General features: G+C 41.4%; 1 protein-coding gene across 2 annotated transcripts in view, besides 2 other annotated features; it reads left to right on the top strand.

The window, feature by feature from the left end:
- SULT6B1 (sulfotransferase family 6B member 1) overlaps nt 1-15,665 on the top strand; it is a 28,268-nt gene that overhangs the window by 2,216 nt on the left and 10,387 nt on the right. The window contains exons 2-6 of one of the 2 annotated variants that reach the window (NM_001032377.2): nt 2,619-2,715; nt 5,325-5,430; nt 6,405-6,517; nt 10,358-10,447; nt 14,288-14,414. In NM_001032377.2, coding sequence (NP_001027549.1) covers nt 5,346-5,430; nt 6,405-6,517; nt 10,358-10,447; nt 14,288-14,414 — 415 coding nt within the window. In that variant the 5' untranslated portion in view covers nt 2,619-2,715; nt 5,325-5,345. Of the gene's footprint in view, nt 1-2,618; nt 2,716-5,201; nt 5,431-6,404; nt 6,518-10,357; nt 10,448-14,287; nt 14,415-15,665 lie in introns of those variants that run through there. The other variant, NM_001367551.1, reaches the window with a different exon arrangement.
- Nucleotides 3,671-4,195: an enhancer, noted in NCBI's record as "H3K27ac hESC enhancer chr2:37416820-37417344 (GRCh37/hg19 assembly coordinates)". NCBI's record gives its function as "activates a minimal SCP1, AML or CMV promoter by ChIP-STARR-seq in naive and primed H9 embryonic stem cells {active_cell/tissue: H9 hESC(naive and primed)}" and the evidence as "EXISTENCE:reporter gene assay evidence [ECO:0000049][PMID:30033119]".
- Nucleotides 4,196-4,721: an enhancer, noted in NCBI's record as "H3K27ac hESC enhancer chr2:37416294-37416819 (GRCh37/hg19 assembly coordinates)". NCBI's record gives its function as "activates a minimal SCP1, AML or CMV promoter by ChIP-STARR-seq in primed H9 embryonic stem cells {active_cell/tissue: H9 hESC(primed)}" and the evidence as "EXISTENCE:reporter gene assay evidence [ECO:0000049][PMID:30033119]".

Below are 15,665 nucleotides of genomic sequence, written 5' to 3'. Positions count from 1 at the left end.
TTTACTAACTCTGGTAGAGGGATGCAAATGACTAGAAAGATGTGCTAGTTCTCTCCAAAGCACAGAAGCAGGCTAAAATCCCAGTCTTCTGTAGTGGCCATAGGGACCTCCACTTTAACAAATATGTACTAGGTTTGCTGTCCATTCTCCCATCTTCACCTTAAAGCCTAGACATTTCTTTTCATATTTTCTCCTTCTTCTCCTTCTTCTCCTTCTTCTCCTTCTTCTTCTTCTTCTTCTTCTTCTTCTTCTTCTTCTTCTTCTTCTTCTTCTTTTTCTTCTTCTTCTTTTTCTTCTTTTTTTTTTGGTAAATGTCTATAGACTGGAAAAAAACAAAGGAAAAGAAGGTAAGAGGGCATGGTGTCTTTAATGCCAAGGAAATAAACTTTATTTTATTATTATTATATTTTGAGACAGAGTCTCACTCTGTCACCCGGGCTGGAGTGCAGTGGCACGATCTCAGCTCACTACAAGCCCTGCCTCCCGGATTCAAGCGATTCTCTTGCCTTGGCCTCCCAAGTAGTTGGGACTACAGGCACGCACCGCCACACCTGGCAATTTTTTTTTTTTTTTTTTTAAGTAGAGACAGAGTTTCACCATGTTGGCCAGGCTGGTCTCAAACTCCTGAGCTCAAGCAATCCGCCTGCCTCAGCCTCCCAAAGTGCTGGTATTATAGGTGTGAGCCACCACACCCAGGCGGAAAGAAACTTTAAATAAGCCTCCCATGCAGCTGCCTCTGGGGCTTGAGCCAGGCCACAGCTGGCAAAGCCTGATAGGTCTGCGGTAATTTATCTCCAATATGGGTAAGACACAAGGAGCTGAAAGAAGCTAGGACTTCATATAACATGAGACCCACCTGGACTCATACGTATGACAGTTCAAACATATCACACGATACAGGTTATTCTGTAATTATTCACGGCTGGTATCCTCCCTCCATTATGCTTGCCAGACAACTCAGAGTTGAGTATGTAGAACTGTAAGGTTAACAGGTTGACCTAAGCCTAGACAAACTAAGAATCAGAGTTCCCATTACCAATCCCAAAGAGCCTCCTAAATCCTCCTATAATTACAGGCATTAGTGTCAGAACAAGATCCAACCCATTGTCTTTTTAAGTTTTTTACTCACTAAGAAGCAAGCAAGCAAACAACAACTATGTTTGAATCAATGTTTTAAATTCTACCTGACCAGAGGGAAACAAAGACTTTTTGTAATGTAAGGGATAATCCCGCTAAGCAGATTGGCAAGGAGTTCAGTCCTGTTCCTCTTTTATTTTTGGGGAGGGAAATTCTTAAATACACCTTTGCAACTACAGCTAATATCATCACATTATTATATAAGGCAAGAAGGCCTTCAAGTGGGAGTGATGTATAGAAATATAAAAATACTAAGATATTCAGATATTCTGATTTTACCTTTTCACATACTGCTTCTTTAAAAAATAAATATTCACCTACATAATGAAACCCGGATACCTGTGCCTAGCTAGGAACCCTCTCTGGTCAGTTCTTTCCCCTCTGTAAAATGGAGATTAAAAAGTACTGACACACATCCACCACCTGCCTCTCACTTTCTGTTGACATATAGAATTTCCTCAATTCCAAGATGTACTTGTTTCCATATGTTTACATATGTTTACATTTCAGAAATAGGAATGCATCTTACAATTGATATATATATTGAATATAGTATTTGTCCCAAAATGCTGTTATTAAATAAAATGTTTTAGTGATGCAGGTTTTTTCTTGGCTGCTTAACCAGCCAGAAACCTCTAATGCCAGCAACACTGCAGGAGGCACCCAGCCCAACCAGCTGTACTTGCTTGCACTCCCACCTAGATCCAGTGCTTGCGGTGGGATCCACACTCAGCCCGCTGCTGGGCCGGCCATGCCACGACCTGCTTCCACCTTGGGCAATGGTGTCTGCATGAGGGGAACATGGTGACACCCAAACAGGGATGCCAGCAACCCCAATCCCCAGAGCGGGTGTTATAGCATGCTAACAGCTCTTTTAGTCCCATTGCTCCACTCCCTGCTGCTGCTCCTGGGCTGGCCTGGCCCTGTCACTCCTTCCCTCATGTGGGGCGGCTGCCCTACACCAGTGAAGGGTGGGGGATACAGTATTACAGTTTTTTTCGTACCCACCTTCAGGCTAAGGGGGCTACCTGCCTTAGGGTGGCAGACCACGCTGTTTGATTCCCATCTCTGCTGATAGCTGTTCCATTGTTCAATAAAACTCTTCTCTGCCCTTCTCACTCTTTGGTTTTCAGCATAACCTCATTCTTCTTGAATGCAGGACAAGAACTTGCGATCTGCCAAATGTGGGTACAAAAAAGGCTGTAACACTGTGATCCTCTGCCTCCTGCTCGTGCCTGCAGCCAACCCACACAATGGAAAGCAGCAGCCAGGCTGGGCCAGCCGTGGAGCCTATGGGCCTGAGTAGGCAGGGGACTGAATGAGCTATAACATAGGCAGGCTGGGGCACCAGGCTGAGCCAGGCCCAGGCGGGGATGTGCCATCCTGCATCACTAGAACCCAGGAAATTTATTGCCCTTGTGGTCCTAAAAATCTCTCTCCTCAGAAAATAAGATTTTTTTTTTTTTTTTTTTTTTTTGCAGTGAAAAATGCCATGGCCTTGTTTCTCATAGCAGGTAAAGAAGAACCAAAGAATTCACTGGTACTAACAATTAAACCTATGCCCTCTGAGATCTCATTGTAAGTGTCTTTCTGCCTGGACTTAGCTGTACTGCCTGCGTTCCAACCCTAGCCCCTCCAAATCCTGACTCTGCAATTGTAACCAGGAACCCCAGCTTTTAAAATATCTTTTAATCACTCACTTTCTTTCCCTCCCCTCTTACCCCTTCATTCCTTCCCTCTCTAGACCTTCTCCCCTGGCAATGCATGTTTATCTAATTGTTTTCTTGGTTAAAAAATTCCAGAAGCTAATCTTGAAACAAACCAAGTGCAGAGCCCCAACTACAGAATCCTTGTGCTTAGGGGGAGTCGCAAACATTTTCTCCACTACCATTGGGCTGAAATCAAGATAATGCCAGCCAGACCTCCAAACAGGCAATTACCCAAGATATCCGTTGAAACAAGACATACAGACCCTGCATCCTGTACCACTCCCAAATGTCTCCCATACATTTCCCCCTTAAAAACGCTATGGTCAATTTTAAAATTTAAGGTGGTACTTTAGAACACTAGTTCACCATCTTCTCTGTTTGCTGGCTCTCCGATTAAAACCTGCTTTTCCTCCCGCCAACCCTCACCTCTCGTCTTCTAGAAGCCACTTAGCCCCTGTGGCCTCAATTAACCTAACTGCAAAAGGTAGCAAAGCAACACCCATTTCATAAGGCTGTTAGGAAATTACATCAGATCGTTCCTGTAATCTTAGCAATTTGGAAGGGGATGTGGTACATGCAAGTACTCAATAATGTTAGCTACCCTTTTAACTGATACATGAATGACAGTACAGCTTGGTAACTAAGAATAACTAGAAGTCATCTTCTTCACTGGTTAACATTGGTTAAGAGAAAGGTAAATACAGTGAAAAAAATTACCTTCTTAGAAAAATGGAAGAAGCATAAGAAGAAAGATGTGGGGAAGAGAATGGGAGAGAAATAAGAAGAAATATACAGTCTACATTTATAGATATTTGACTTATCAAGAGGCCAAAGAGTAAATTATGACCCAGAAAATGTACCAGATAGGATATAGGCTAAACTGCTATAACTTTTGAGTAATTGCAATTGTAATTGTTGAGACTCCAATAATTCAGTGGCTCAAACAAGATGAACAATTATGCTCTTTCACATACAGGTCAGAACGAGGCCTGTTACACAGTGTGAGTCATGGGAGGGTGGCTCTCTTTCTCAAGGCCATCCAGTAAGCTGGCTTCCTCTGTCTTGTTAGTCTGCCACCCCCTGGAGTGCTGCTTTCCTCCGAATTAGCAAATCTGGTTTGCCAACACAGTATCTGCCTTCCAGGTATGGGGAAGGCACTAAAGAAAATTGGAGAGCCATCAACTTACTGTTTTAGCCACAGGGCCACACCAAGCTGCTGGGAGATGGGAAGTGTGGGCCAACTTACCCAAAGGAAAAAGGGGAGAGTGGCTGCTAGAGAAAGAGCGTACCCTAGGAAATGTTCCAGGGAGAAGCACCTTCCCCGCACACGCATTAAGAGACACAATGACGTAGTATGACCTTCTGGGGGCACTACACTAGAAAAGGGAAGAAAGCCTCAGATGGGCATGTGTACAGCTTCCTAAACACACTGCACATGCTTACTTCCCTGGGGTAAGGAGGGCAGCCCACCCTAAAGGAAGAATCATGGGAAAGTGGTGTGAGATGCTGGAAGTGGGCCAGCCTATGAAGGCCTAGCATCAAGGTTAAACATTTTGCACTTGTACTTGAAGTCATCCACTTGGGTGTCTTCTAAGTGTGCTTTCCTTTCTTTCCTGCTCTAAAGCTTTTAATAAACTTCCACTCCTGCTCTGAAACTTGCCTCAGTCTCTTTTTCGGCCTTACATCCTCAGTCAATTCTTTCTTCTGAGGAGGCAAGAATTGAGGTTACTGCAGACCCATATGGGGTAACTCAGATACATTTCCACTGTTAACAATTTTACATAAACTTTTAGAGATATATTATCATTAGCTCAGAGTAACACAACTAGTAAATGGTAGAGTCAAGGTTCAAACTCAGGTCTTTAGACTTGTGTATCTATTGAGCCAGTAAATGAGAGTGCCTAAGACTGCCCCCAAATCTGGTCTCTTTTCCACCCCACCAAATTACCTCACAATCCCATTGCTTCCTTTCACACCACAGAGGATATGTGTGGAAATCTATCAACCCAGAAGAGAACTGAGGTTTCATTCTGTGAATTTCTAATAGAAAAATTGCATGCCTGATTAAATACCTATTTGTTAGATATTTAATATATATTTTCTTCTATTAGGATATTCCATTCTTACTTTCATTGGGCAGGTTGCCGAAATGGTCATGTAATCAGCCCTTGGGGTAATATTCCCTGATCCTCAGCCTGTTTTGCACCTGTGGTTTAGCTTTTCCCAGGAGGATATGTAATAGTGAGGGAGGGGTGGATGAGAATTAAATGATTTCTTTTTCATGTGACTGGGAGGAGCCCTTTATTCCAGCCCCTGCCCAACTCCATTAAAAGCAATCACTCCCCCTGAACAGCCACAGAGCAGGTTCTTTTACAGGGAGCCACCATGGCTGATAAATCCAAATTTATTGAATACATTGACGAAGCTTTAGAAAAATCAAAAGAAACTGCACTCTCTCATTTATTTTTCACCTATCAGGGGATTCCTTACCCCATCACCATGTGCACCTCAGAAACTTTCCAAGCGCTGGACACCTTCGAAGCCAGACATGATGACATCGTGCTAGCATCTTATCCAAAGTGCGGTAAATGACAAGTCGTTTCCTACAAGTACACTTCTCATAGTGAGTAGGTTGGGGAGGGTATGAGACAAAGGTGGGATGAAGGCGGTTCCTCATTGCAGGAATCTGTCTGAGCATCAGTGAGGAGGAGGGCCACAGTGGTTAAGTACGTAGGTTGTAAAATCAGTAAATAGAACTGCTAGATTAAAAAACTCCAGTGTCTGAAGGAAGAGCTCTGTGCGGAAAGGCCATGATGGAGGATGGAGGGCAGAAGGGGGTGGATGACGGGCCTGGAAGGGAGGAGCATGAATGTGGGAAAGTCCAGTTGGCAAGGAACAGTGACAGTAGCAGTGATTTTGTCTTGATTTCTGGCTGGACAAAAGCACAGCCACTTCTATAATTTACATGATGATTTCCATGTTATAAATTATTTTTCAGGATCAAATATTGCTCCATCAGTTTCTCAAATCACTTTTACAAAGATCCTTCATCAACGGAAAATAAGACATGAAGAATCTAGATGATCCTGCTTTCTACCATCTCCTTTTGATTCTTTCTACTGTTGTTTACTAAAGCCAACCTCATTTAATATCTTTTTTTCTTAACTGATGCTGTGTTTTCATAAAATCAAAATTATAGATTCCTGTAGAAAATACATATTAATTTAATGTAAAATAATATATACAACTTATAATAAACTATTTCTATAACATAACATTGTCCTATAAGAAACATATTCTAGATTCAAAATGAAGCATTGTCCCTTGTTAAAGGAGCCATCTGTTCTCAGTTGAATTTTATACTAATTATAGGTAAATGCTGTTTTCAATCAAACCATTTCTTTCCATAGCCCAAGTTATTTCAAAGACAGAAGAACTAAATATACACATCAGGGAATGGTTGTAGATTTTAATTTTTATCATGTATATGCTAAAGTAACGTCCTTTTGTTATATCAAGACTCCGTAATGAGTTTTTATTCTCTGATTTTTCTGATAGGTTCAAACTGGATTCTCCACATTGTCAGTGAATTAATATATGCTGTTTCTAAAAAAAAGTATAAATATCCAGAATTCCCAGTTCTTGAATGTGGGGATTCAGAAAAATATCAGGTTAGTACAACCAGCCTTTAACCTTACAGCAAATTATCATAGAAAGATTTCTTCCGGTTTGGAGATTCTTTAGTTTTCAGTTTAGAAAGTGCAATGCTAATAATTACCACAATTTACTGTGTGCTTACCATATCCTCAGCACTGTTCAGGTATCATCTCATTTTCTGCAAAATAACCTTATTACCATTTCACAAAAGATAGAAATGCTAGGGACTTGCCCAAGGTCAAGGGACTAATAAATGATAGAGCCAAGATTTGAACCCAAGTTTTCCAGTTTGAGCTTTTAACAACTATACTGTATAGCCAGGCTGTTTTTGTTCTTTTTATTTTAAGTAGGGGGAAAGTAAGCTGAGAAACCTCAGGAAATGAACAGAAAAGTCTCATCTCTGAAGACATGGACCTGTGCAGGATGGTAGTAGGAATCACCAGTCTTTTCCTAGTAAACCATGATTTCTATTTGAAATGGAGTCTCACTTCATTGCCCAGGCTGCAGTGCAGTGGTGTGATCATGGCTCACTGCAGCCTCGACCTCCTGGGCTCAAGCGATCCTCCTGCTTCACCCTCCTGAGTAGCTGGGACTGCAGGCACGTGCCAGTACACCTGGTTAATTTTTTTTAATTTTTTTTGTAGAGGTAGGGTTTCATTTCGTTGCTCAGGCTGGTCATGAACTCCTGGGCTCAAGTGATCCTCCCACCTCGGCCTCCCAAAGTGCTGAGATTATGGGCATGAGCCACCGCACCCAGCCAGACATGATTTTTGATTTCCCTATCTCAGTTATGATTCACGTGTGTGTAAGGGATGGGAAGGAATCAAGCATTAGCTCAGAGAGTACGCCACTGATGTGTGTGAAGGGGATAACAGGTCACCCTAGCTGTTGTTACTTACCTTCCCAATACAACTAACTGGGTCTTGGATGTGAGATAGGATGTTCTACTCCCTGCCCAGGGAAGGCAAGAAAGGAGTGGGAGGATGGTCTACCTCAGGACTTCAGGGCTTGGACAGAAAAAAGACATGGAAGACAGCCTCTCCCCACTCCTAGACACACCAGAATGCAGCGGGGAAGGGAAGGCTGTATTCAAGGGGGAACCACAGTCTCAGTAAAACTTTCAGCAGTGTTCACCACCAAGATTCCCAACAGGCAGAGAGAACTCAGCTACTAACATAAAGCCACTGGATTGGGACTTAGGGAACAGCTTCTGGAAGGTGACTGAGACACTGGCATGATGACAAATACAAACTTGAAAGTTGGAACCTAGATGGAAGGAAGCCCATTTCCATGGATTAGGTCAAAGTAGCAGAAAAACACATGGTAAAGGGACTCAGAGGAGGGTGTTTTGGAGGTAAGTGCCGAGCCCTGGATTTGGTTGGCAACAAAGGAGCAGGGAGGGTCACCTGTACCAAAGCCAACCTGATGAAGGCTCAGCTGAGACAGGCCCAGGAACGTAGGATGGACCAACAGGGGCAGTAAGAAGCTTTGACCTAGGTAGGAAATAAAGGAAAAGCCCCATAGACTTCTCCTGTCCAGGCCTTTGCATAACCTTTTTCTAAAGAGAGTGCTTAACATCACCTTTAGAAATGATGCCAACATTTATCCAGATTTCAATTTCTCTCTCTCTGTTTTTTTTTTTTTTTTTTTTGAAATGGAGTCTCACTCTGTCACCCAGGCTGGAGTGCAGTGGTGCGATCTCGGCTCACTGCACCCTTCACCTCCTGGGTTCAAGCAATTCTCCTGCCTCAGCCTCTCGAGTAGCTGGGATTATAGGTGTGCGCCATCATGCCTAGCTAATGTTTTGTATTTTTAGTAGAGACGGGGTTTCGTCATGTTGGACAGGCTACTCTCAAACTCCTGACCTCAAGTGATCCACCCTCCTCTGCCTCCCAAAGTGCTGGGATTACAGGCATGAGCCACCACGCCTGGCCAATATGCCCTTTAATTTTAAATGGAAATCAGTGAAATGAACTTCACTTAACAATTATTTGCTTTACAGAGAACTTTTCTGGAGTACATATTTTTCCTTAAATAAGGTATCTAGTCTTTGCTCACATTTGGGCTATATTACATATTTTAGTGAACATAGTATTATATATTATGTAGCTATCTAATTTAGTTACAGTTGACTTCCATTTTTCCCTTGGGTGCTTTTCTAATCCTTTTAGTAACCTTACCATTTCTCATGTGTCTGTACATGATTTTTGGCCATGCAGTTTCATGGAAACCACAGTCTATAACTTAATCTGAAAATAACCACCTGTGCAATTTTGCACAAAGTGCTTAAAACCTCAAAGCCTGTTCTTAATCTCTAAAATGGGGGTTACGATATCTACCTAAGAGGATTGTTGTGAATGAGCATGAAAATGCTTCAAATGTTTAAAGGTACCATTTGTTGTAAATCAGATTTTACACTGCTAGTCACCGCTTGGATCCATATCATTGATTTAAAGTGCGTTTTATTTTTAAAATTTCATTTTTTGCCCCCTTGCTTGAGTTGAGATCTCCACTAAGTTTTGTTGTTTTTTTTTTTTTAAATGGAGTCTCACTCTGTCGCTCAGGCTGGAGTGCAGTGGCGCGATCTCAGCTCACCGCAACATCCGCCTCCCGGGTTCAAGTGATTCTCCTGCCTCAGCCTCCTGAGTAGCTGGGACTACAGGTGTGCACCACCACGCCCAGCTAATTTTTTGTATTTTTAGTAGAGATGGGGTTTCCCCATATTGGGCAGGATGCCCAGCCTCCACTAAGTTTTTACAGAACAATTGGCTACAAACATCTGAATATCCTTTTATCACTTACATTATATTGTAGCTGCAACCAAGCAGTAAGTGACCGCTACAGATGTGGGACTAAAAACTTGAAGCCTTACTTCCCTGCATAACATATACTAATGGTCTGATTGTAAGTGAAAACCCTTAATCCTGGCAGATTAAATAGATAATTTTATCTTCAAAATTATCTATAGAAATAGATTACAGAAAAAGAATCAATCACCTTTGTCCATATACTGACAAGAATTTCTCTCATAAAACATTTCTCGGACATTTAAGTAACTCTGTACTTTCAGGTTCCATTGAGATATTTTATTGCCTAGAGTTTTAGCTGGTTAAACAGAAAGATTTAGATGTTAAAAATGGATTCGCAGGAACTGTGGAAAGACTTGACTATTTCTGTTAAAGACCTTGAATACAGAAGAGAATCAAATTAAGTGAAAGTGTGTATTTCAGATTATGAGTTCTCTTGAACAAAATGGATTTGATATGATTGTGGGAAAAGGTAATTTTTTAAAAAATTACAAAAATGATTGGGAAATGGTAAGCAGGGTACAAAAAAGAAATTCAAGAATATTTTAATTATTGGTTTATTTATGATTCTTCATTCCTCATCTCCACAAAGTAAGAAAACAGAAATAAAGAAAAATTGGCCGGGTGCAGTGGCTCACGCCTGTAATCGCAGCACTTTGGGAGGCTGAGGCGAGCAGATTACCTGAGGTCAGGAGTTTCAGACCAGCCAGGCCAACATGGTGAAACCCTGTCTCTACTAAAAATACAAAAATTAACTGGGCATGGTGGTAGATACCTGTAAACCCAGCTACTCGGGAGGCTGAGAAAGGAGAATTGCTTGAACCCGGGAGGCAGAGGTTGCGGTGAGCTGAGATCGCGCCACAACACTACAGCCTGGGCGACAGAGTGAGACTCTGTTTCAAAAAAGAAAAATTGGAGGAGGAGGAGAAGATATAGTGACAGTAGTGCTAGAAACTATCACTTAGATACCAAACCTAGGAGTGATTCAACACACACACACACATGCACACACGTGCACATTTTCACCTTTTTGTGTATATTTTTAAGAGAATGAAAGGCTTTCCATCACCAAGGATTTTGGCAACTCACCTCCACTATGACAAATTACCTGGGTCTATCTTCGAGAATAAAGCCAAGGTGAGTGTCCTTTCCTACTGATAATTCTTTGAAATTTCTATGTATAGATATTAGTTTTTGGAAGTAGATCATGAGTTTGTTCCTTCTCATAGAAGCTTAATAAATGAACTGTGACATTTAGTTTTTTTGTTTTTGTTTCTTTCTTGACATATATTTGCTATAGTTGCACTCAAGTCAAATGCATTTTCAACAAGGAAATAAAACATATGCATAGAATAAAATGTATTTTATAATCTGTTTTACAGTGAATAATTTTCTGAATCCTGATAGAATATTTAGAGTGTTTCATGCACACACAAAAAATACAATTTAGTAAAATGAGAAAAAAATTGTTCCTTTCTTTCTGGTGAGCACTATTTACCTGAGGCCTAAAACTATTTTTTCAAATATATTTAAAATTTTTATAGAGACAGCATCTCACTATGTTGCCCAGGCTGGTCTCGAACTCCTGACTTCAAGAGATCCTTCTGCCACCAAGGCCTCCCAAAGTGGTGAGATTACAGGCATGGGACACCATGCCTCGCTGAAACTATTTTATTTTTGAATTTCACATGTAGTAACAAACTTCACAGCATGCATACAGAACTATATGTGCTTTGGCTGTTCTTATCATTTGTTTAAAAATGTTGTTTTATTAATCAGTATTGATATATTTCTTGTAATTACTAGTTTTTACCCAACCCTTTCTGTTTCCTCTCTCCTGGTCTCCCCTCTGTTCCTTATTTCTTGGTGCCTTTTTTCTGTCTCAGAAGAAAATGATTTGAATTAGTTACAATCAAGATTTATTTAAACTCCCTGCAGGGTGCGGTGACTCACACTTGTAATCCCAGCACTTTGAGAGGCCGAGGTGGGCAGATCACTTGAAGTCAGTAGTTCGAGACCAGCCTGGCCAACATGGTGAAACCACATCTCTACAAAAAATATTAGGTTGGTGCAAAAGTAATTGCGTTTTTTGAATTACTTTTAATGGCAAAACCCCCAATTTTTGCACCAACCTACTAAAAATAGCCAGGTGTGATAGCACGTGCCTGTAATCTCAGCTACTTGGGAGCCTGAGGCAGCAGAATCGCTTGAATCTGAGAGGCGGACGTTGCAGTGAGCCAAAATCTCGCCACTGCTCTCCAGCCTGGGCGGCAGAGCGAGACCTTGTCTCAAAAAAAAAAAAAAAAAATTTAACTTCTGCCGAATGCTAGCAAGAAGAATGGGAGAATAGTGAGGTAAGAGCAAAGAAAGGCACAACAGGAAAACTGTTAAGATGACTACAATTTCAATGGTAAGAGGCAGGAGGGGAAGCAAAATAAGAAAGGAAGAGTAGGAAAGCAAACCTTAGGGAAGTGGAGGTTTAGAATGAGCAGCTTTGTGGCTGTGATACAAGAATCCTAGTAGCTTAAAATGGGAAAATATCTTAAAGGTCATCTATGCTAATTCCCATTGAGTGTTTGAATTCCACTAAGCAGCTGGACCATGATTCAGCACCTCCAATGATAAAGATCTCCAGTATCCCCTAAGCCAGCTTTGAATAGCTCTGTTAAACAGTTTTTCCTTATATCGCGAATGTGTAAAGTCTGAAATACCATTTTAACACGTAATTTCCCCCATTGAATGCAGTTAACACATTTTTCCTTAGTGTCTCTATAATAAACAGAGCTGAAGTAATTTATAAAGCGTTGGACTTGGGGCACGCAGGCTTTTGAACAGAGTTTCACATTTGTAAGAATATAAGGGCAAGAAAAGAGCAACAGGGGCTGGATGCAGTGGCTCACATCTGTAATCCCAGCACTTTGGGAGGCCGAAGCAGGAGGGATCGCTTGAGCCCAGGAGTTCAAGACCAGCCTTGGCAACATAGTGAGACCCCTGTCTCTACAAAAAATACAAAAATTAGCCGGGCATGGTGGTGCACCGCTGTGGTCCCAGCTACTTGGGAGGCTGAGATGGAGGATTGCTTGAGCCCAGGAGGCAGAGGTTGCAGTGAGTGAGATCGCGCCACTGCACTCTAGCCTGGGTAACAGAGTCAGACCCGGTCTGAAAAACAACAAAAAACAAGAGCAACAGCAGGGAGGTAAGACGTTGACGTGGGGAATTTGTTCATACTCCAGCCAATTAGCCCTCAAATTCAAATTTATGTCTTTGTAAACTTACAGATTGCTACAAGCCAGGGCAACTGAGTGGTAGTTAAAGCCTCAAATATAAAGCCCTCAAATGGCAAGAATCTACTATATTTGGACTAGGGGGAGGGAAGAGTGTTAGATCTAAGTACAAGACAAGACCCAGACCCATTGATCTCTACTCAATTTTATCCTGTTGGTGTTAGTTAAATTCTTTAGGCAGACAAGGTATTTTGAGATCCTGATTCCCTCCCACTTTCATGTTATTTACAAATTTGGTAAATATAGCTTCTATATCTTTACCTAAATGATTCATTAAAACATTAACTATTACCCAGCCAAGAGAGTGGAAGGGCTTATTAAAAACCTCCCAGCAGGTTTACATTAGTTAATTAACTATTTATACCCAGTCAGTTTTGTTATTGTTGTTATTGTTGAGATGGAGTCTTGCTCTGCTGCCCAGGATGCAGTGAAATGGCACAATCTTGGCTCATGACAACCTCCGTCTCCTAGGTTCAACCAATTCTCCTGCCTCAGCCTCCCGAGTAGCTGAGACTACAGGTGCACAACACTGCGCCTGGCTAATTTTTGTATTTTTAGTAGCACCAGGGTTTCCCCATGTTGGCCAGGCTGGTCTCGAACTCCTGATCTCAAGTGATCCAGCCGCCTCAGCCTCACAAAGTGCTGGGATAACAGGCATAAGCCACCATGCCCAGCCCCCAGTCAGTTTCATATGCCTAACTGCTCCTGATTCTGCCTTACATTCTTACTTTTTCTGTAGGAGAAATCATAAGCTACTCCACCTACTAATCTAAAACCATGTTGAAAAAATCCAGGTGTTAGCTGACTTGTTCTTAGAGGGTCCATGTTGCCCCCTGTTGGTTACAGTTTCCTCTTTTATGTGGCCCCAAATCTTGTTTTTAGTCAATTCTAGACTTCTCCCAAATGAAAGTGAATATCACAAATCTGCACTTTGCAAAATCCACATCTTTCCCCTTTCTGAAAATGAAATGACTTCTGCCTGTTCTAGTTGTCTGGCCTCACATGTTTTCAGATTCCTCGGAATTCAGGAACATGCTGGATCATGTGTCCTCCAGTTTCCTCAGTTCTTGAAATAGAAGGCTTCAGGCCAGAAGGCTGAACTCAGAGCAGACGTGTGATCCTCTGCAATCTTTTGGTTCTCTGGGGTTTCAGTTTGTTCTTTACGATGTTTATTTCATGCTACTCATCCAAAGGAACACTTTCCTCATCAAAGAAGGCAGATATAGGAATTCAGACGTTCTGTGTCATGTACTCACCCATAAACATCATACCCAGAGAGTGGGCTTTGCCATTCTTTAATCTTCTCCTACCAACTCTAAAACATTATTTTTGTCGTCCTTAACATTATTTGCAATTTTTATTTGAGGATTTAAGCTTTCAGGTCATACTCTTGTGATTATCCTAGTGAGCTTGGTCTTTTTTTCCTTTTTACATCTTCTGTGCATCTTATTGCCTAAATTCATTTGCAAGAATCCTTTGCAACAATATCAATCTTTTTCTTCTTCTTTCTCTCCTTTCCCCAGATTTCCCCATCAGCCACCTCCTGTTCCTCAGTTTCCTACTGTCATTCTTTCTCTATATATTAACACAATTATGTAATATACGAGTGGACATGATGATATTGCTCACCCTTTTAATTTTCCAAATTTCAAAACATAGACCCAAATAAATTAACTCAATTTTTGCTCCCTAGATATTGGTGATATTTCGAAACCCTAAAGATACAGCAGTATCTTTTTTGCATTTCCACAACGATGTCCCCGATATTCCAAGCTATGGCTCTTGGGATGAATTCTTCAGACAGTTCATGAAAGGACAAGGTATGGCTGTTGGTAAAAGAATTATTCTTACTTGATCAGATGACCACATAAATGTGAAAACCCAAATGTGTTTTAGGGTAAAGGAAGAAGATTTAGGTAGATCTGGGAACCAAAAAGTTTCATTTAAATGAACGGTCATAGCACCATTAGTTCTGTGCATCCAACAATTAAATGCATTGCTGTTTTAAAAACGAATTTGGGGCCAGGTGTGGTGGCTCACGCCTGTAATCCCAGCACTTTGGGAGGCCGAGGCGGGCAGATCACAAGGTCAGGAGATCAAGACTGTCCTGGCTAACACGGTGAAACCCCATCTCTACTAAAAATACAAAAAATTAGCCTGGCGTGGTGGCACGCACCTGTAGTCCCAGCTACTCGGGAAGCTGAAGCAGGAAAATTGCTTATACCCAGAAGGCAGGGATTGCAGTGAGCTGAGATGGCGCCACTGCACTCCAGCTTGGCAAAGCGAGACTCTGTCTCAAAAAAACAAACAAACAAACAAACAAAAAACTAATTTGGACAAGTCGTATGTTGACTATGAGTACAGAGTGGCCATAGAAAAGACATGGGACAAAGAGAGCTTTAACAGTGAGTGATGTAGAAAACCATTTCTAGTGAACTTCCTTGTCACTATGTAACACTGATAAAAACAAAAAATATTTTTTAAAAAACCATGACACTGAGCTACTATACCTAAGACATTTGTTTGCTAGAAAGAAAATAAGTTTTTGTCAGAAATAAGTTTTTGTTAAACATGTTGATATTTTGTCTCTGGTTTATTGATAACTCTAAGTGTCTATTAATGCTCCAGGTGCTAAAGTAGGGGTCGTCTATGCATTATTTTAATTTAAGATTTATAACAAACTATGAGTAAGGTGGTATTAGCCCCATTGTACAGATGAGGAAACTAATCAAAATATAAATCAGACAGGCACAGTAGCTCATGCCTGTAGTTCCAGCACTTTGGGAGGCCGAGGCGGGCGGATGACTCGAGGTTAGGAGTTTGAGACCAGTCTGGCCAACATGGCAAAACCCCGTCTCTGCTAAAAACACAAAAATTAGCCAGGTGTGGTGTTGCATGCCTGTAATCCCAGCTACTTAGTAGGCTGAGGCAGAAGACTTGCATGAACAGGAGGCGGAAGTTGCAGTGAGCCGAGATTGATCAACTGCACTCCAGCCTGGGTGACAGAGCAAAACTCCAACTCAAAAAATAAAATAAAATAAAAAATAAAGAAATAAAAATACAAAATTAGC

This window comes from Homo sapiens, chromosome 2 (assembly GCF_000001405.40).
Source record: "Homo sapiens chromosome 2, GRCh38.p14 Primary Assembly".
Lineage (NCBI taxonomy): Eukaryota > Metazoa > Chordata > Mammalia > Primates > Hominidae > Homo > Homo sapiens.
This window is presented reverse-complemented; position numbering and strand designations above follow the sequence as displayed.